General features: G+C 42.2%; 1 protein-coding gene and 1 long non-coding RNA gene across 2 annotated transcripts in view, besides 3 other annotated features; both read left to right on the top strand.

The window, feature by feature from the left end:
• The window catches only part of LOC105377529 (uncharacterized), a 55,915-nt gene extending 51,481 nt beyond the window's left edge, over positions 1-4,434 (top strand). The window contains exon 3 of the long non-coding RNA XR_939438.3: positions 4,381-4,434. This is a non-coding gene — a long non-coding RNA (uncharacterized LOC105377529). The remainder of the gene's footprint in view (positions 1-4,380) is intronic.
• Positions 8,112-8,261: a silencer, noted in NCBI's record as "silent region_15792". NCBI's record gives its function as "represses an Ori minimal core promoter by ATAC-STARR-seq in GM12878 lymphoblastoid cells {active_cell/tissue: GM12878}" and the evidence as "EXISTENCE:reporter gene assay evidence [ECO:0000049][PMID:35858748]".
• Positions 8,302-9,061: a silencer, noted in NCBI's record as "silent region_15791". NCBI's record gives its function as "represses an Ori minimal core promoter by ATAC-STARR-seq in GM12878 lymphoblastoid cells {active_cell/tissue: GM12878}" and the evidence as "EXISTENCE:reporter gene assay evidence [ECO:0000049][PMID:35858748]".
• SH3RF1 (SH3 domain containing ring finger 1) overlaps positions 8,742-20,704 on the top strand; it is a 176,698-nt gene continuing 164,735 nt past the window's right edge. Inside the window, exons 1-2 of the mRNA NM_020870.4 lie at positions 8,742-8,839; positions 10,391-10,878. Coding sequence (NP_065921.2) covers positions 10,486-10,878 — 393 coding nt within the window. The 5' untranslated portion in view covers positions 8,742-8,839; positions 10,391-10,485. The remainder of the gene's footprint in view (positions 8,840-10,390; positions 10,879-20,704) is intronic.
• Positions 9,302-9,521: a silencer, noted in NCBI's record as "silent region_15790". NCBI's record gives its function as "represses an Ori minimal core promoter by ATAC-STARR-seq in GM12878 lymphoblastoid cells {active_cell/tissue: GM12878}" and the evidence as "EXISTENCE:reporter gene assay evidence [ECO:0000049][PMID:35858748]".

Below are 20,704 nucleotides of genomic sequence, written 5' to 3'. Positions count from 1 at the left end.
GGACTACAGGTATGAGCCACTGTGCCTGGCCAATACCTACTGTATTTTAAATGTTTTCCTCCAAATAAGAGTTGGTTTTTTAAGGCGAACCATTCTTTAATAATTCTGGAAAGCTGTAACTTTAACTATACTTTTAGTAATTGGAGCTTTACAAATTGATTGAAATTGAGTTGCAAATAAAAGTTTTATGAAATGCTATAAAATATATTAGTTGTAAATTCTGAGTACTACATAAATTCTATCTATTGCATTTCCTTGTGAACTTCAATTTTTAAAAAGCCTCTTTAATGTTTTTGGCAGGATTTTTTTTCTAAATAATGCTTCAATAAGGACTTTTTCTTGGCAATCCATGTGATTTCCTGGAAGTTACTGCTGAGTATATACTTACTATGTAAACATAAAACTTGATTCTCCTAGTAAAAGCATCAACCATTTCCAAATGCCAATAGGCTTTATAAGTAATTTGCAGCTTGTGAGTAAAGCCATCCCTCTTTTTTCCCCATATTTTCTTTAATGCTTTGTAGTATGGGCCACAGACTATTTTCAAATTCTTCTTTGCTTTAAGATCCTCCCTCCCCCTGACCTTTTGACTAAACATTTCTTCATTTTCCTATAGTGAAGGATCTGATTTTAAAACTCTGGCCAACTTACCTGATCACATTTCCTCTAATATGTCAACTTAGCCATAACAGCTTTGAACATCTAACCTTTCCTTAACCCCTGTCACATTCATACAACTACACATAACAATATATACAGTTCCTTTTCATTTATCAAAAGAAAGAATCCTTGGGGAATAAAGATTTGACAGTGCCTGTTACAAGATAATTGTAATACTTTAAAAAAGGAGAGAAAGAGAGATGAGACAGATGGTGTACACTGGAGACATGTGGAAGTTTGCTTGAAAAATAGCTTCAGAAATTCAATTGAGACTGAAAAGAAATTATGCAAATCATCATTTTTGCATAAAAGCATTATGGAAAACAAGGAAATTATCTTAATCTTTAGTCTTCTACAATCTTGTCAAAGAGAAAGAATGTCAACTGGACTGATATCATCTTGGGTTCCTATTTTTTTAAACACTCTACAGCCTTTTATTTGAATTACAGGGGAAAGAGATTATTTGAGAAAGATTATTTAAAACATTATTTTCTATATTGCTACACTTAGGTTTAATTCAGTAACATCAATCATTACTAAATTTTTTGATGAGTTACTCAGCACTTTTATTATATGTATAATTTACATGGGGAAAGCTTTGTAATAAATGTATCAGATACTCTATCAGATTAATTTATATGGCATAAAAAGATGATGGAATTTAATTTTTAAAGTTATGTTGGCCAGGTGCGGTGGCTTATGCCTGTAATCCCAACACTTTGGGAGGCTGAGGCAGGTGGATCACTTGAGGTCAGGAATTTGAGACCAGACTGGCCAACATGGTGAAACCTCGTCTCTACTAAAAATACAAAAATTAGCCAGGCATGGTGGCATGCGCCTGTAATCCCATTTACTAGGGAGGCTGAGGCAGGAGAATCACTTGAGCCTGGGAGGCAGAGACTGCTGTGAGCTGAGATCGTGCCATTGCACTCCAGCCTGGGCAACAGAGTGAGGCTCTGTCTCAAAAAATAAATAAATAAAAATAAATAAATAAATAAATAAATAAATAAATAAATAAAAGAGTTAGCTATAAACAGAAGAAAATGTTATGATGGGATCATTTCTACTCATTATGGAATCAGAGAATATAGGCTTGTATTTGATTACACATATGAATTAGGGTGGGTAAAACTGATAAAGGCGGCCAACATCCTTTGCCTAACACTATAATTTAAAAAGAAACCTGGGTCATAATTTTTGAGTTTCTGGTGAATCCATGCACATGTTTGCTTTTTGTGTGTATTTTTAAGCTGGCCTATTTAGATGCATTAGAAAAGTTTACCATTATCTTTAAATTTGATCAGAAAGAAAGAAATCTGAAAATTGATAAATAATCTTTAATATATAAAGATGGTTACCGAGGAAGATTATGGAATTTCATTTCCTGAAGATGGTTAGATAAAGTGATGGATATTTATCTAGTCTCTCCCTAATACTTTGGTTTAGGTAAAGTTTGCTTGTGAGCAAAAAGACCACTTCAAGGTTTGAACTTTTAAAATGATAATGGCATTTGACAAGAAAAATTAGTTTTAATAGAAAGGAACAACTCCTATTTTTTTTTCCTCATATAGGTTAAATTTATCTTTGAACTTTGGTCAGAAATATATTAGAGGCATCTAATTTTCAGGCATGTTTTTGTTGAAATCTAACAGTACTAAACAACAGGACCTTCTGAGGCTTGACACGGGTGACCTCTGTTCACATTTGGGGTCCTGGAGTGGGCTGGGGCCAGCGTGTGTGTTTCTCTGGGCAGGCTAATATTTTAGCTCCCTTTTAAAACTGATATCCTTTAAAAATCTGTCCAGCATTTATTAAGAGGAGAGGCTGAGTGCTGTATGGAGGGTGGGCAGGGAAGAGGGGCACAGACTGGAATGAATGGAGGTGGCCACACTCAATCCCTCTCCTATTGTCCCTAGCAAACTAGCTCTGGCTCATAGATCCCATATCCTTCTCAACAAAAACAAAGCCCTAGAGTGCCCTTTTAAAATTAGCTTCCCTGGTCAGTGCCTGGGTTATTTCCTTTTAAATGTGCCTCTGGACAAGCCTACCTTTGTGTTTCTCAGTTTGTGGTCCCAGCATCATGTACATGAGAATCACCTGATTCTTGAACCCAGGCTGGACCTACTAACTCTCCAGGGATGAGGCGAGCACGTCTGAATTTTAAACCAGTGTTTCAGGTGGTTCTGATTGCATTAAACCTCAAGAATCTCTCCCTGAAGGCTGGGTTAGAATTAGTCCGTATAGAGAACTCTAACTTTCTCCAGATATTTCATTGTCAAACACAGCTTCTCTAGCCGGGTGTGGTGGCTCATGCCTGTAATCTCAGCACTCTGGGAGGCCAAGGCGGGTGGATCGCTTGAGCTCAGGAGTTCAAGACCAGCCTAGCAAACATGGCAAAACCCCATCTCTACCAAAAATACAAAAACTTAGCTGGGCATGGTTGTGTGTGCCTGTAGTCCCAGCTACTCGGGAGGCTGAGGTGGGAGGATCGCTTGAGCTGGGAGGTGGAGGTTGCAGTGATATTGTGCCACTGCACTGTAGCCTGGGTGACAAAGCAAGACCCTGTCTTAAACAAAACAAAACAAACCAACCCAAAAAACAGCTTCTCAAATGTTCAGACCTGTTTCAAGAAGGCTGGAGGAAGATGCAGTTCAGTTACCTCCTACTCATCAGTCTAACTTTCTTCCTAGCATCCTTCCTGATCGAACTGAAATCCTTGGGGAGTGCCTATAAATATTCCATCTGCTCAGATTTTTTTGCCAGACAGTGGAGTTTGCACCACCTTCCCACTACTGCAGACCAAAATAGCCTCTCTGGGCTTGCCTGACTCTAAGAGCCCAGTTTCCTGACAACTATGGTGCCTCATGACCACTTGGCTTTATACAAGGGGATTCCATTGCCCTTAGATGTCCTTTGTGCAGTTGGGATGGAAATAATTAACGCTGGAAGGAACCTTAGATAAAATCCAATCCACTTCCTAATTATATGGAAACAGATGCAGACAGATACGTAGTAAAAAAGGCAAGAAACAAACATTTTATTGGGTCCCTACTAAGTGCCAGGAAGGTGCTATACTAGGCTTTTCATTTTGTCCCTAGTTTTTTTACATCAGGCTTTCAAAGTATATATTATATCCATTTGTATAGATAAGGAAGTTGAAACTCAAAAAAATTAAAGAAATTTGCAAAGTCATTCAGTTAGGTAGTGGATCTATAAAAATAATACTGTCATTAATTAAGCACTTACCATGTGTCAGGCATAGTTTTAAGCATTTCATTTTTATTAATGTATATAAAATCACCACAAAAACTCTGTGGTAGGTAGTATTGTTATACCTATTTTACAGGGGGAACTCAGGCACAGAAGACTGGAAACTTGCCCAAGGTCACCCAGTTAGTAGGTTGTAGAAACGTTGACTCCAAAGCTCTCTCCATAATCAGGTACACTAGAGAGAAATGGAAGCAGATACTTATTGTCCAAGTAGGAGATAGGCAGGACTGAAATAAGGATTGGGAGGAAAAGAGAGATGTAAGAAGCACTTCTGATGCTCTCTGGATCATCCATCTGGATGGTAGGAGGGGGAGGGATCAGGGGGGGAAGGGGAAGCTGAAGATAATCTGCATTTTCTTGCTTGCCTGGGGAACTGAGGGGATGGTGACGTCATTAACTAAGACCTTGAATAAAGATAAACTGGCATTGCGTTTATGTTCTGTGTTACAGAGCTGGTGTTAAGCTGTTTCTGCAGCTTAACTGTGAAACATAAGAGGAAGAATCAAGAATCATGTGTCCTCATCTTCTACATCAAACTTACTGATTGATAGTTTATAAGAAAGACTCTCAATGGAACTTGGAACATTGCTTGCCTGATTTCCCATCTGTAGGGCAGTGAGGTACTAAATATCTATGTAGATTTAGGATAGCAAGAAATGTAACTGTATACTTGATTAACTCCTTATTTGAGAATTAGTTACTGGAACCCACTATGTGTTGGCTGTGAAGGACGTAATGGTAAAGAAGACAGACCCAGTCACTGACTTCAGGGAACTTATATTCAGGTAAAGAAGATAGGCAATAAATAAGGAATCAAAAAAATTAGACCACAAAAAGTGCTGCAAAGAAGACAGAAAGAGTACTATGCTGGGATGCAGTGGTGCAGGGTCCAAGTGGCAGTGAGTCTTGTAAGACAAAGACTATGTTTGACTCTAAATTTCAGGCATGATGGGAAGTAATTGATGAGTTTGGAGCAATGTAGTAACTGATATGTTATGCATTTTTTGTTGCTCACTCTGAATGTTACTACATTCTGGGCGAGATTATGGGGACAAGAGTGGAAACAGAGAGGCTGGTTTAGGACGGACAGAGACAAAGGGTGATGGTGGCTTAAATAAACTTGCACTGGAGGCAAAGGAAAGTGGGTATAAATTGAAATATATTTTGGGAGAAGCTAGCAGAATTGATGGAGAGGAAAAGGGAAATCAAAGATGACCCCTAGGTTTCTAGTTTGAACAACTGAATGAAGAGTGCTATCATTTACCAATATCATGGCAACTGGAGAAGAAACAAGGTTTGAAGGAAAATGATAATCAGACACATGTATATATATCCGTGTGAAAGCATAGTACCAAAGTTTACCAAAGAGTGCTCTGGATTGGATATTTAAGTATCTGATTTTTGTCACCACTTAGAGCAATAACTTATCTACATCTTGTTGTTTCCCGTCTACATGGAAATAATCATATCTGTCTTTACCGCTTCTGAGGGATGCTGAGAAGACAGATGAGATAATATATATGAAAGTCCTTTGAAGTCTTGGGAGGATAAGAACTGTGTAAACGCAAGCTATCATTATTATGTCACAGGGTGTGTTTTATGTTTTTCATGGTTCTACTCAAAGTCACAGGGATCTTAAGCACAACATGCTTACATTCCTTCCTTCATGTTCAGTTCCCAGACATGAAAAGATGAACATGCTTCTCTTCCCCAACTGCCCCTTTCCCTATATTATTGACAGGACTTTGCAATTACTAGAATTATACCAAACTTATTTATTTATTTGAGACAGAGTCTTGCTTTGTCACCCAGACTGGAGTGCAGTGGCGCAATCTCGGCTCACTGCAACCTCCACTTCCCAGGTTCAAGCAATTCTCCTGCCTCAGCCTCCCAAGTAGTTGTGATTCCAGGTGACTGCCACCATGCTTGGCTAATTTTTTTTTTTTTTTTTTTTTTTTTGTATTCTTACTAGAGACAGGTTTTCACCATGTTGGCCAGGCTGGTCTTGAACTCCTGACCTCAGGTGATCCACCTGCCTCGGCCTCCCAAAGTGCTGGGATTACAGGTGTGAGTGACCGTGCCTGGCCTATCCCAAACTTTTTTAAGACCCTGGGAAGAAAGGACTTTGCCCAGAATAACTGCCTGGGTGATTCTTGGCAGATTATGATAATGATGCTATCTGACTTTAATAGAGATATACAGATTACAAAGAACCAGCATGTTGTCTCATCTAGTCATCCCACAACACTCTGAGAAAGATATTTTTTTTTTCAACCATTTGACAGAAAATGGCTCAGGAGGTTAAAGTAACTTGCCTAAAACTTCACTTTACAGCTGGAGTAACTAAAGCTAATAAAAGTGTTGTGTTCTAAAAACTATAGAACATGCACCAGGGGCATTCAAAGAACTGCAGCCACATCCCAGATAATATTCATGAGATGTATGCCAGATTCTTCGACCACTGCAGTCTTGGGACACACTGTCTTCAGTTCTTTGAAAACGGGTGTGGCCAGGCGCCGTGGCTCACGCCTGTAATCCCAGCACTTTGGGAAGCTGAGGCGGGCAGATCACCTGAGGTCACAGGAGTTCGAGACCAGCCTGACCAACATAGAGAAACCCCGTCTCTACTAAAAATACAAAATTAGCTGGGTGTGGTGGGTGCCAGCCTGGGCAATAAGAGTGAAACTCCGTCTCAAAAAAAAAAAAAAAAAGAAAAGAAAAGAAAATGGGTGTGACTATTGATTTTCTTTTGCCAGGAGTTTCAAGAGCTGCACCATTCTATCTATGACCTTGTGTGCTGCTCTCTAAAAATACATAGGAAACCAAAATAAGAACACAATAAAAACTGTCCCTTGCTTTCGAGTAATTACATGATTAACAGTTTCTTCTTTCCCTTGGGAAGAGACACACTGCTTTGCTTTGCCTAGGGTGGGGATATGACGGTCCTGTGCAAAAGACAGGGCCTTGGAATGGTGCAAAGAGAACTGGACTTGGAATCCAGAGAGCTGGGACTGAGTCTTGGTTCAACATTACTTACTGTGTGACCAGGGGAAAGTTAACCTATTTGAGCTTCAGTTTTAATAACTGCAAATAATCCCTATCTGTTTATTGACTGTAATCTTCTGGTCAGCCTCATCTTCATCTATCTGCCCAGTTCCACATGCAGAACTAAGTAGTAACTTTCAGTTTGCAAACTGGACTAGAAATTCTCCATTCCATTCATTCCTTCCGTCGTCTTTCTCAGCTCAAATGCCCATGTATTTGCTCACTTCTAATGGAAGGGGAAGTGGGCTATTATTTTTGGTTTTCATACATTATGACTCTCAGCATATGAATCTATTTAGAACAAGGCTGAGAAAAGATGACATAGAGGGTTGCTGAGAGAATTGAACTGATGCATGAAAAATGTTCAGCACAGTGCCTGATTTACAGTGAGTGATCATTGTTAGCTGTCATAATTTTTTCAGGCTTATGTGATCCTTATGTCTTGAATGGTTTAGCTGTGGCCCTAGCTGGAGACTAGAGGATAAACTGAGACTCCTCGTCAAATCATAAACCTAGTTGGTGGCTGGGCAGAGATTTCTTGCATCATCTGTTGTAACCCTTTCTTCTTATAACCACCTAGTTTCTGCCCACCTTTGAGGAGGGGTATTTGGGATAACTTTTTGTAAATTGATGGTAAATGCAAATATAGTAATGTCAACTTTAGATCAGTGACAAAATTTTAACTTGCTTCTCCACTAAATCGAGACTGAAAAACCTCAAAACCTATGGACAAGATGTTTTTCAAAACTCCACTTCGGTTTACAGGTGTGTGCTTGGGGCAACCAAAACAAAGATTACTGCGATGATGGCAGCCACCCAGGCTCAGATAAAAGAGGCGCCTCTCAGCGTGCTTTGCGGTGCCAGCCCACCTGAGGTCAGACTCAATTCTCCCCACTTAGGGCAGGGATAACAGAGCCCCCGAGCCTGGGTTGGAAGTCCGTACTACCGTTTTCCTAGTCTTGGGCTTTGGGGTCAGCGGTCCTCCAGGCTTGCTCCGGTTTGGGTCCTGGGGTGACTGATGGCTGGGTGCGGACAGGTGGCCGCGGCACTGTCCCCATCGATTCACCACGCCGCTCTCGGCCCTAAGGGGCAACACTTCGCTCCGACTCTACCAAGTAAGTGTCCGGGGTGGGCAACCAGACGCAAAGCGCAGCGGGATCGGTTCCCGCCAGGGCTGCTCCCGCCGCCTCCGCGGACCCAGCCCCTCCCGCGCCGCGACTCGCCCAGCCTGGGGAGGAAGGGTCCGTCCAGGGCTCCCAGCCCCGCCGGGGGGAGGAGGAGGCGGCGGGACCCTGTCCCGGGGCTTCTTCCTGCTTCCCCCAGCCTCCACTCCCGCCGCCTTCCCGTCCGGTGGCTCCATTTTTCAGGCGCGTTCTCCTCAGGGAGAAGGCGTCCGTCCCCGAGCCTTCCCCTCGTAGTCCCCTGGGGGCCCCGCTCCCCATCCTCTAGGCTCTTGCAGCGCCCCCTCAGGCCGCCGCCCCAATCCCGCCCCCGGGCTCCGGCGGGGTACTGGGCGCAGGTCACCTCAGCGCGGGAGGCCGGCGCGGCGGCGGGTGGCTCCGAGAGGTGCCGCGCCCGCTCCCGGGGAAGGCGCTGTGGCGCGGGGCCGCCCCCTTGCGCCCCGGGCGCCGGCTGCGTCCCGGCCTCCTCCTCCTCTTCCTCCGCCCTCCTTGGCTGGGAAAGTGGGAGGCGGCGGCGGCGGCGTGGTGTGTGTGCGCGCGTGAGGGGGGCAGCAGAGAGGAGTCTCCCGGTGCCGCCGCGGCGTCAGAGACACTGCGAGCGGCGAGCGCGGTGGGGCCGCATCTGCATCAGCCGCCGCAGCCGCTGCGGGGCCGCGAACAAAGAGGAGGAGCCGAGGCGCGAGGTAGGGCGCGCGGCCGGCGCGGGGTCGACGGGGACCCAGCGTCGGCGGACCCCTAGCCGCGGAGAAGGCGGTGGTCTCGACATTCCCCCATCCCCGCCCTGGGTCGGTCTCTCTCTCCCCTCGCCCTCGGGTCCCCGTGGGCCGGGAATCAGGACCTGCGGAAGCGGAGCAGCCCGCGGCCTCTGCCTTCTCCGGGCAGGAAGCTGCCAGGGCTCCGTGCCGCGGTCTCCCCGGGCGCAGCCCAGCACCCCCTGCTTCCCGGATGGCGCGGTCTCTCTGGGGACTGTCGCCTTATCTTGGCTGGGCTAGAAAGCTGCTTCCCCGTGGCACTCTGTGGGGCTGAGTTTCGCAACTTAAGCCTGCGCATTTATTTTTAAGTCCTTGAAAACTTCCCGCAGTCGTGTAGAGGGATTTGTGTCCCCGGCCTGAGCTAAAGGGAGGCGGAGATGAGGGAGGCTGTAGGGTGAGATCCCCACGCCGGGACCGGCCGGGCCGCAGCCCCAGGCCGCGACCGGCTCCTGCCGGGTGCCGCCGACACCTGGCCCCGGGGTGTGTCTGCGGCGAGCGGCCGCCGCGCCTCCCTGCGGGCTTGGGAGTACCTGTGCTTGGCGCCGTGGGAGCGGGGGTGCAGCCCTGGGGCTCCCCCGCTCCGGCTTTGTCAAGAACAGCTGTTAATGCTCCCAGCCAAATCTTTTTACTCCCGTTCTCCTGGGCATTCACTTTTACATTTATTTTGGCGGTGGGGGGAGAGCGGCGCAGTAAGTGGCTTGCTTTTTCCTGAATGGCCTCATTTTCATATGCCCACAGTTTCCAGTCCAACCTTCCATTGTCGAATTCTTTTGGTGATAATTTTGCCAGCTTTTCTGAATGGGATTAGGACAGGCCGTTCAGAAATGTGTTTCAGAGTTTATCAACTACTGCCCTGAAGGGCGCTTTTCTGTTTTAGCTGCTTTCAAGCAAATCTGTGTCTTTTAGAATTGTCAACCTTCAGCTCTTTTTGGTTGGGCAAAATTAAACAGTTCTATTTTTAATAACAGCGAAGAAACATATGTATTTAATATTGGGATCATTTACCACGAGCGATTACATGAGGCATGGTTTCTTAAACGCTAAAGTGGCTTAAAAAAGGGAATTTAGTTGGATATAAAAGTAAATTTCAGGTAGAGGAAACTTTCAATGGCCTCTGTCAGCTTCTCCTATGAGTTGAAGACTTTATTAAGGCAGCTGATACCACTTTCAGAGCTTAAGAAATTATGTTCCTTATTGCACTTCATAAATCCTTCTGCGGGAATTATGTAATACTCTGTGCCTTGTGTTTGCCCAGTGAATCCCTAGATATCTTTAGGGGTTAATTTTGCGTTGTTTAGAAAGCCTGTTTTGTTTTCAGTTGTTGACTTTGGAGTTTAGGAACCCACATTCCAAAGCAAAGCTACACTATTCAGACAGGGAATAGTGTACTTTTGGGTACTTTTTGATTCTTGGCTCCTTTGAACTTTTTCCCTAGATAACAACACTCATGTTCTCTTTTCCCCCTTTTCCCCATGACTCTAGAGCAAAGTCTGAAATGGATGTTACATGAGTCATTTTAAGGGATGCACACAACTATGAACATTTCTGAAGATTTTTTCTCAGTAAAGTAGATAAAGATGGATGAATCAGCCTTGTTGGATCTTTTGGAGTGTCCGGTGTGTCTAGAGCGCCTTGATGCTTCTGCGAAGGTCTTGCCTTGCCAGCATACGTTTTGCAAGCGATGTTTGCTGGGGATCGTAGGTTCTCGAAATGAACTCAGATGTCCCGAGTGCAGGACTCTTGTTGGCTCGGGTGTCGAGGAGCTTCCCAGTAACATCTTGCTGGTCAGACTTCTGGATGGCATCAAACAGAGGCCTTGGAAACCTGGTCCTGGTGGGGGAAGTGGGACCAACTGCACAAATGCATTAAGGTCTCAGAGCAGCACTGTGGCTAATTGTAGCTCAAAAGATCTGCAGAGCTCCCAGGGCGGACAGCAGCCTCGGGTGCAATCCTGGAGCCCCCCAGTGAGGGTAAGTAGCCTACAGAGGTAGTTTGGTGAATAAAGGTGGTAATGTCCACATTTTTTCTTTATTCTTTAGCTTGGTGTTTTCGAAGTCAACTCATTGCTTAGGAAACCATACATACTGGAACAGATAGATTATACCTCTGAATATTTTTTTCCCCCATCTTGGAATGAGATTGGATATAAATAATAAATTTTATTGTTTTGAAAATTATCTCTAGATAGTCTCTGTTATCTTTTAAGATAAATTTTGGGAAACAAGTAGCAATTAGTGAATGAAATCTAAACCAGCTTTTGTTCTGTGCCCATTTTAAAATGGAAATTTGGTATTTTATCATTTTGATGGGGCTCAGAGTCATAATTACATGTATGTAGTACATATGTAGTATATATGTTGTAAGTATGTGTGTGGGTAAATCATAAATAGGAAATCAAGCCTTAATTTTTATGTTGCTTAGAATCATTCTATTGGTTTTATGAATACACAGCACAGAATTTACTCGTTGGTGGAATTCTTAACAAATCATGGCTACAGGTAGCAGAGTTTCGTTGCTGTAGCAACAAAATGTCACTTAGGACTACACTAAAACATCTAGCTTTATGTTGGGCTTTATAGTGAATGAAATGAAGTATTTCCATCGAAATGATTTTTCTTGGGATTTGAGTTTGGGCTGAAATAATTTTAGATGAAGCTAATTATTTGGACAGCTACCACAACTGTCACACAAAATTTCTGTATTTATTAGAAATATATATAAATAATCTGTATTTATTAGAAATATAGGTATTTCTAATAAATATAAATTATGTTGCAGGTGATGGATTCCTGATAAAATGTGCTTTCTCATTTTTGCAAAAATAAAAAGTAGTCAAGAGCATCAGTAATTAAAACAACTTCATTTTTGTAAGAAGAAGGAATTCTAAATTATTGGCCAAACTGGTAAAATCTGCTTTTAAAGAACAATTAATCTAGATGAGAATATTTTTTTCAAATGTCTTCAGTAAGCACTCAAAAGTGATGTCTTTCATTTAATACAGGAACTGCCCATTGGGATAGCATTAGTTCCCATAATTCGCAGATGTGGATACCAGGCAGTTTTAACAGAATAGTTTTCCTACTACTTTCTCAGGCTCATCTTTTGTAAATGATAGGAAGTATTTAAGTATATAGACCATTTTAATCACTGGAAAACCTGATCAGAAAACAGTTTCATCATTAAGGCTGTCAGGTTTCTTTTGACATATTTATTTATTTAAAGATAGTGAGAACTCTGGGATAGGGAGGTTTTCTTTTCCTTATTTGGAGCCCACATGTTGTGAAACTGATCTGCTTACAGTGCTTTTCTTAGATTTCCTTTATTTTATGGAGTTTACTTATTTGGACTCGAATATTTTAATCCCAGAACCAGTGATCAAGTTGATAATTTCTGAGACACCTGATGTAGGTCTGTTTAGCTTAATAAAGGTGTAGATTTGCATCTTTGGAAAGGTTTTGTTTCCCTGTTAATTAGACTAGGGAAGGCATGGCTTCCTGGAATACTGTATCTTAGTTGTTGACACTGCCTTACCTGTTGTGAGGAATGCATTGAATGTTTGTTCACTGATAAAGAGGAATTTAAGGAGAGGCTCAAACACTCAACTTAATGTCTTTTGAATTTTAAGTTTTCTTGCTAACATGGAAATTGACTATGTAATTCTCATTTATCTGAACTGCTAAGCTCCCAAAATTGAACTTCATAGGTAAATTATTTGGAGATTTTGATCATGTTAGTATTATTTTTCTGGTTTATATGCTTTTCCTAATTTACTTCATGTTTCTTCTTTAGCATGAGAAAAATTACTTGCCAAGAAACTCAACTAAACTTGAGCCTTATAACTGGGATAAAATAGTTGAGGTGGATGGAACAGGAAATATGTCTGTTACTTTGCTGGGGGAGGATGGAGGACAAAAACAAACCTATTCAGTAGTCTGAGTTGATGCAATTGATGCAATACTTAGAAAAAGAACAGCCTTTTTTCTAGTTTAAAATAGTTTTTCGAGCCAGGTACTGTGGCACTCGCCTCTAGCCCCTAGCTACTTGCATCTTCAGTCCTAGCTACTCCAGAGGCTGGGGCCGGAGGATCACTTGAGCCCAGGAGTTCAAGTCTAGCCTAGACAACATAGCAAGACCCCTCCCCCTGCTACCCCTCCCCCATCCCCTGCCCCCCACCCCCCTTTTTTAAAAAAAAGCTTTCTCAGTAAGTTACTAGTACCTTTTGCTTTCAAATATTCAGAACAGTCAGGGCCATACATATAGTTCAAACACCTGAAAGGTCAATACATTTCTAGAAAAGACTCCTTTTAAGAGTGAGAATTCTGTAACATGAAGCCACATGGATATTGTAAGGCACTTCTTTGGACGCTTCCCTTAGGTGAGTGACTGTAATAAATCCCAAATGTGCATCCTCCTCCCTTAAGTGTTCTGACACAACCAAGTGGTGCAGTGAGCCTGTTTCCATATGTTGTGCAAAGCTGAAAGTGATAACGTGGAATGTTGCTTCAGTTTATTAGTTATGTTCTGTGTTTGGTTAGGCTGTGACCATGTGGCCTCCTCATGCGTTTAGCCAAAGTATATTGAATGTTATCAACAGATTTGAACATTTCCAATGTGTGACGCACATCTTGTTCCCAAAATTTTAGTGTTTCCTGCCTAATTTGAAGGAGAAAAGGAGAGTGTGGGATTGGAATCACCATGGGAATCCATCAGTTTTTTACCTCTAAGTAAAGAATTCCTGTTGGTTTTAGGCCAAAGTCAAGCAGTGGAATGAGCCATAGGGAGAGGGACACTGCTGATACCTGTCTATGGCCTAAGAAATGTAGCTGCAGAAGTTAAAATGCATATATATAAATTAGATAAGGAAAGCATGGTTTTTAAGTAGTTCCTATAGAATTTAGACCTAATAGTTTCTGCTTTTTATGCGCAGTTCCAATGATTTAAGGAATCATTAAGTAATGATATGTAAACATAAATATGCATAGATATTAACTTCTCTTTAATATTCTCTTAAGCTGGCCAGGTGTGGTGGCTCACGCCTATAATCCCAGCAGTTTGGGAGGCCGAGGAGGTGGGTGGATCACTTGAGGTCAAGAGTTCCAGACCACCATGGTCAACATGGTGAAACCCCGTCTTTACTAAAAATACAAAATTAGCCGGGTGTGGTGGCACGTGCCTATAACCCCAGCTACTCAGGAGGCCAAGGCTGGAGAATCGCTTGAACCTGGGAGGCAGAGTTTACAGTGAGCTGAGATCGCACCCTTGCACTCCAGTCTGGCCAAAAAGAGCGAAACTCCATCTCAAAAAAAAATTCTTTTAAGTTCTCTTAATATCTCTTAACATTAAGTTCTCTTAATATCTGTGCATGTTTCTGTTTAGATATTATTACTTAATGATTTCATGATGCCTCTACTTCACAGCAAATTTATTCATCCAAAAAATAGATCACATGAGACCCCCTGATTTATACTAATTTATACTTAGTTTATTCGTTGCTTTATTTAATAAATACTTCTTAAGCACTCATTAGGTGCCGGGCACTACACTAGCTGCTGGATAGGTAATGGTAGACAAACCATTCTTAGCTTTTGAATGTGTAGTCCATCTTGTGGGAGAGACACATTAGGTTTTGAATGTATAGTCCATCTTGTGGGAGAGACACATTAAGAAAATAATAACAATGCAGGCATGTAATTAAGTAAGTTCTAAGACACAAAGCTAGGGGAGAGGATAGAAGAAAGACCTGCATTTAGCGTGAGGGTGAATTGTGTGTGTGATCTTCAAAAGCTTCCTGAGGAAGAGGCATCTGAGCTGAGATCTTAAGGGTGAAATGATATTAATTAGGGAATGGGGGCTGGGCAGGGAAGGGGCAGAGGCGAAGAATATTTCAAAGGGGCTGACCTAAACAGGAAGGGATGTGCCTCCTAGGAAGAACTGACAGAAGGTAAGTGTGAACTAGGCAAGCCACAGGGATGGTGTAAGATGAGGCCTCAAATTTGATAATGTAGAAGGCATCAAGAACTGCCCCAAGGGCCACGTAGGGTGAAGGGTCAGATGGGTAGGATAGATAGGAAGTGCTCTGCATTTGGGATAAGAAAGAGGGACCATTGGGACTGAGACGATTAGCAGGGCTTCAGAACAGATACGGGATTGGAGCTTGTGTCAAAGAATGGAGAGATCGGGAAAGAAAGGTAGGGAATTCTAGATATGAGGGAACACACATGAAATTTATTTTCCCCTGTAAATGCTGTGTCTGCTTTCATTTCTCCATAGCACAGTCATACCTCCTTTCTCCCTCTTTCCCTGTTGCTGACTGTTAGGGGCTGAATTATGTCCCCCAACATTGCTACGTTGAAGTTCTAACTCCTAGTACCTCACAATGTGGCCATATTTGGGGATAGGACCTTTAAAGAGGGGGTTAAGGTAAAATGAGGTCACATGCATGGGCCCTAATCCAGTAAGACCAGTGTTCTTATAAGAAGAGGAGATGAGGATGCAGACACATAGGGAAGACCATGTGAAGACACATGGAGAAGATGCCACTTACCAACCAAGGAGAGTTGCCTTCAAAGGAAGCCAACCCCACTGACACCTTGATCTTGGACTTCCAGCCTCCAGAACTGTGAGGAAATACATTTTTGTTGTTTAAGCCACCCAGTCTGTGCCCTTGGATGTAGTAGCCCTAGCCAACTTGTACTCTGACTGTAGACATACTCCTAAAGGTCAGCCCCTTGAGTGGCCTCTCGGTCCACTGCCAATCCCTTCAGTCCTGGTTTCCCCAGAAACTGGCAGTGGTCCAGCCTTCTGTGTTCTGTCATGGAATACCTTTGAGAAGTTGTTCAGCCCCTCCCTACTCCCTCAACTACCCACATTGCCTGGCATAATTTCTTAAAATAGACAGGCATGTTATAAGGAAGTTGAAGTTTATGTGACAGTATACCAGATGCACAGAAAGTTCTGGAGGAAATGAAGGAAATATTGAGAGGGGAAAACTACTACTTTCTTATCTCTGACAAATTGGATTGATCTGTAGCTGGAGTCTGGAGAGAGTGCTTTCCAGGACTCAGTAGTACCTAAGGCATTACTCAAGGGATAGGTAATGATGGACAAACCAGATACAGATCCTTACTTGGTGCTTTCCAGGGCTAAGTAGCACCCTAGTAAGGCATTCTAGGCTTTATTCCAAGGAATGGCATTGGCAGAAAGAATTGAAGGAAGTAGTGGGAGAAAGTTAGGACAACTGAGTTGCTCCAGGTTTGGTGTGGAAAGCAACTGCCAGCTGTGAACTGTGCCGTGGGACATCTTTGACATCCATCTATGAACAAGCACCTGTAGAGAGCTTTCAGGTCCAGTTATGTTCAATAATCTATACTAGGTCAAAGATGACATTAATGCATGTTTCTGTTGAAAAAGTTTACATTTGGGGGAGGTAACACACAAGAAACAACAAGTAAGGCAGCAGATAGTGAAGCATCAGGGGGTGGGATAAGATATAGAATAAGTCTCTATCTATGATGGGGTTCTTTTTTGTAGTTCGTGGTCCTTGGATTAAGTGCATGGTCAAAGAATACCAAGTGTGGACCAGAGTGGTTGGGACATGCTCCCCTGGCGTGTAAGGTTCACTACAAACACTGACGGACAAAGGAGTTGTTGTCTTCGCACAGATGGGGATGGGGATGTGTATTAACTCATACCGGACCCAAGCAAGACATTTAATGTGGTGGTTTGGATGAGGGAAATGTTTCTGTGTGTTTCAGAATGATTGAATTAAAACGGAAAAGGTGGGTTTTGTTTGTTTGTTTGTTTTGGCTAAACCATGTTTGTTGCATGCTTGACCTCTTATTTTATCCATCCTTGATCCTTACTCCAGGCTTCATGTCTGCCCCATCCCTGACCTTTACTTCATTCCTGAGCTAGGCTTGATGGTGAGACTCGGAGATGAGATCTTGAACAGGGTAGAAGGAAGGTATGGGAAAGGGGGTCTGTGGTGCATACTAATTGATAATTTTTTTAAAAAAGTAATGATTCTTTTTTATATCACATAAAGTGTCATGTAACCATAATCATGTAAACCTCACAACAGCTTTCTGGGGTCAAGTGTTATCATTTTATTTATTTATTTTTTTGAGACAGAGTCTCACTCTGTCACCCAGGCTGGAGGGCGATGGTGAGATCTCAGCTCACTGCAACCTCAGCCTCCTGGGTTCAAGCGATTCTCCCACCTCAGCCTCCCAAGTAGCTGGGATTACAGGCGCCTACCGCCATGCCTGGCTAATTTTTGTACTTTTAGTAGAGGTGGGTTTTCACCATGTTGGCCAGGCTGGTCTCCAACTCCTGACCTCAAGTGATCCACCCACCTTAGCCTCCCAAAGTGCTGGGATTACAGGCGTGAGCTGCGGCACCCAGCCTAAGTGTTATCATTTTTAAAATGAGAAAGAATGTAGATTTCAAAATGTATGTAAAAGCATTCTGGTTGTAAAAAAAAATTCAACCATATAGAAGAATATGTTATTAAGTGTGTATATACTTGCAGATCTTTTCATATACATTTATATGTGTATGCATATAGTTTCTTGATTTTTTGCAGAACTAGAATTTCATGCTCTGGAGATTCAATGATTTGCTAATTCATTTACTATATCTATGAAATCTCTTCATGTTTAAGCACATAGACCTACTCCAGTTTTTGAAAAAACTCTTTATTGATGTATAATATACACATAGAAAAGTGTACTAATTATGTGTACCATTCATTTAATTTTTCATAGTATTTTTCTCATAGTATTTTTACTCATAGAATTTTTCTTCATAGTATTTTTCTCATAGCATTTTTCTTTCTGTTTAAAAAATACTCAGTGTAAGAAAAATACTCATAGTATTTTTCTTTGTTTTAAGAATTAAAAATAATACATGCTTATGGTAAGAAATGTAATAGTAGAAGATGATGTAAAGGAGAAAATCAAGGCTTCCAATATCTCTACTCCTTTGTTCCTAATCTCTAGGGGTAACCACTGTCACAAGGTTTTTTTGTGTTTTCTTTCAGACAAAAAATTGAATAGAAATGGAATCACATTGTATATGCAGTTCTGCAACTTGTGGTTTTTAATTTAATGATAAAACTTGGATAGCTTCCGTATCTACTCACATTGATCTATAAGAAGCTATTATGCATTCTTTTTTTTTTTTTTGAGATGGTCTCACTTCTGCCCAGGTTGGAGTGCAGTTGGAGTGTTTACGGCTCACTATACATTATTATTCTTATTTCATGGATGTAGGAGGGGTGGCTGAAAGACTTTAAATAACTTGTCCAATTTCTGATCCCAAATGCTTCCTTCCCTTACCTGCAGTTGACTTAAGTGACAAACATTTTCCCTGGGACCTCATGTTGCTTTTAGCAGGGGAATCTTTTCTCAGTTGCAGCTGGCAGAGGTTATTCTTTCCTCACTGTCCTTGCTTCCTATTTTGTTTTGACAAAAAGAGGACAAATAAAGCTCCTTTACAATGACAGTGGACCAGGAAAGCAGACTCTCCTTAGCTTGATGTATGGGGAAGAGTGTGGTTTGGAGGTCAGAAGTTGTGGCCTCTGGTTCCAACACTGCCATGGGCTGGCTGTGGGGTTTCTCTGGGCTTCATTTCTTCAGCTCAAAGATGCGGAGCCATAGGGACCTAAGCTCCATGCAGAGTGGTTGTGGGAATGGGGCTGGTGAGGGGGCTGAGTTTGGTCCATCTTTGACTTTTCAGAGCCCTTTGTAGTGTCTGGCACAGAGTACACACTCACAAGAGGTTTGTTGAATAAATGAGTGAATAAGTGAGTGGAGTACCAACCTCTCTAGGGATCCTTAGCTGTATATTTAATTTCATTTCTATTTGGGATGATGAGAACCAAAGTTACTGAAAAGATACCGAAAAGATTATAAAGTGGATGTAGTGTTTGGCTGTAGAGCTACATAAAATACAGACATGAACTCAGTTATGTTGGTTTCCTGTGTGTGAAAAGTAGCCTGATGCAGATCTCTTTGGCAACCCTGATCCCCCACCCGTCCCAGTTTCCTTCATTTATTATCACTATTGCTCCAGTCCTTATTTATTTATTTATATTTCTCTTTTGCGTGACTGAAGGAGAGAAATTATTCTGTTACTGCTGGCTGGGCAGGGAAAAGGAAAATCCGAGGGAAAGGGAGGAAAGAGATAAAATCTAGTTTTGCTTTAGCTGGAGGTCCGTCTTGTTCTTGAGTTTCTTTGAAAAGTTCCACCTCTGCCCTGGCTCTCTGGCTTTAGCACTTCATCCCTGGCTTTTGCATCAGCTGCTATAGAACCTGTGTTGAGTGTTAACTTCTCTGCCTTGCAGCACCTTGCACTGCCCTGGCCTGCAACTGTGGTCTGTTCTTTCCAAGTGGCTAAAAGAGGCGCAGTGGGGAGCCGGTAGAACAGACAGGGGGAGCAGGAAAGCAGTCCTTCTCCATTGCCTTCCTAAAACTGCTTCTCTGGGTTGTCTTCTCAAAATGCTTTGTTTTTGTTTTGCCCCATAATTAAGTCTCTGGTCTCAGAAAAGCAAAAGAATAAAATCAGAGGCTCAAAAAAGGCATGTGAGTAGGGGCAGTATGTCAGTTCAAGCCCCTGACTATTTTGCTGTTGCCTGTGGTCTTTTCTCAGCATTCCACGAGCCCCCAGCTCTCCTTTGCACACCTCCATTCCTTAACTCACTCTATTGGGAAGAATGCCTGCTTTTTTCCACTCTGGTCAGACGCTCACTCCATTTATTAATCTATCCCCTCTCTAGTATATTGCTTAATGTAGTTTAAGCAAACCCAAGACAATATGTAAAAAGACTTTAAAATTTTAAGGTCAAAAGGCAAATGACTTTGTAATTCATGCTGTGGCAGGATTCTTCCTAAGGATCCACAATACTGTAGCAACCTAGCACAAATATTATAGTGAGATGTACTTGTGATAGAAATACTACACATAGCGACATAGTATGGATAGTGAGGAACTCAGATAGCAGGCAAGCCTCATTTACATAGCAACATAGTATAGTGAGGTGTACATATGATAGAAATATTATGCTTGGAGGCTGCCTTGCTGGTAAGGCTCCCTCATTTAGAAACTTCAACTCCCTCACCCTCCCAAAGCTTTTATTATAAAGAGTACATGTATCTTCTGCTCTCTTACAAATTTTGATTTTTAGTTTTTTCTGAAGGTAGTAACCTTAAAAAGAAAAATTCAGAGCCCCAGGCACCCTTTTTCGTGGCTCTGCAATCCTTTTGTCGCGTATATGTCTGCCAATGCCTAGTCAAGAGGATGGTAGCAGTTGCTTCATGAATGGTGACATATGGGTGGCTGTAAACACAGCCATTTTAAAGATAGATGTGTGAGTGGGCTCTTTCGGGGTAGCTGGGAAGGGAATGGAGGTGCCATTTCAGATGGCTGACAGAGCAGTTAAATAGTAGATTATTTGCGTTGTGAAACATGAAAAAAGTGAGCAGTAGGAGGATGTGCAAATGAATTTTTAAGTTACGTAGTGCAGAAAGGCAAGGGCTGTCAATGTTGAGCATTTTTCTGTTAGCCTAAGGAAATAAATTCCTTAAGGATTAAGGAAATTATTATTATTATTATTTTTTGCCAGAAAAAACTGCTTATCAATTCAGGAATGAATGAACAGGAGTGAATTTTCATTATTTTAATATGTAATGAGTGGTCCTAGGCAATCAACATTTATACAGAAAGAAAGCTAAAGTTAGCTATAGGATGCTTCATATCTAGTTTTAATTTATGTGAAGTACCCCAAAATAATACCGT

Source organism: Homo sapiens, chromosome 4, assembly GCF_000001405.40.
Source record: "Homo sapiens chromosome 4, GRCh38.p14 Primary Assembly".
Taxonomy (NCBI): domain Eukaryota; kingdom Metazoa; phylum Chordata; class Mammalia; order Primates; family Hominidae; genus Homo; species Homo sapiens.
The sequence above is the reverse complement of the archived record's forward strand: the minus strand, read 5'-3'. Positions and strand labels throughout refer to the sequence as shown.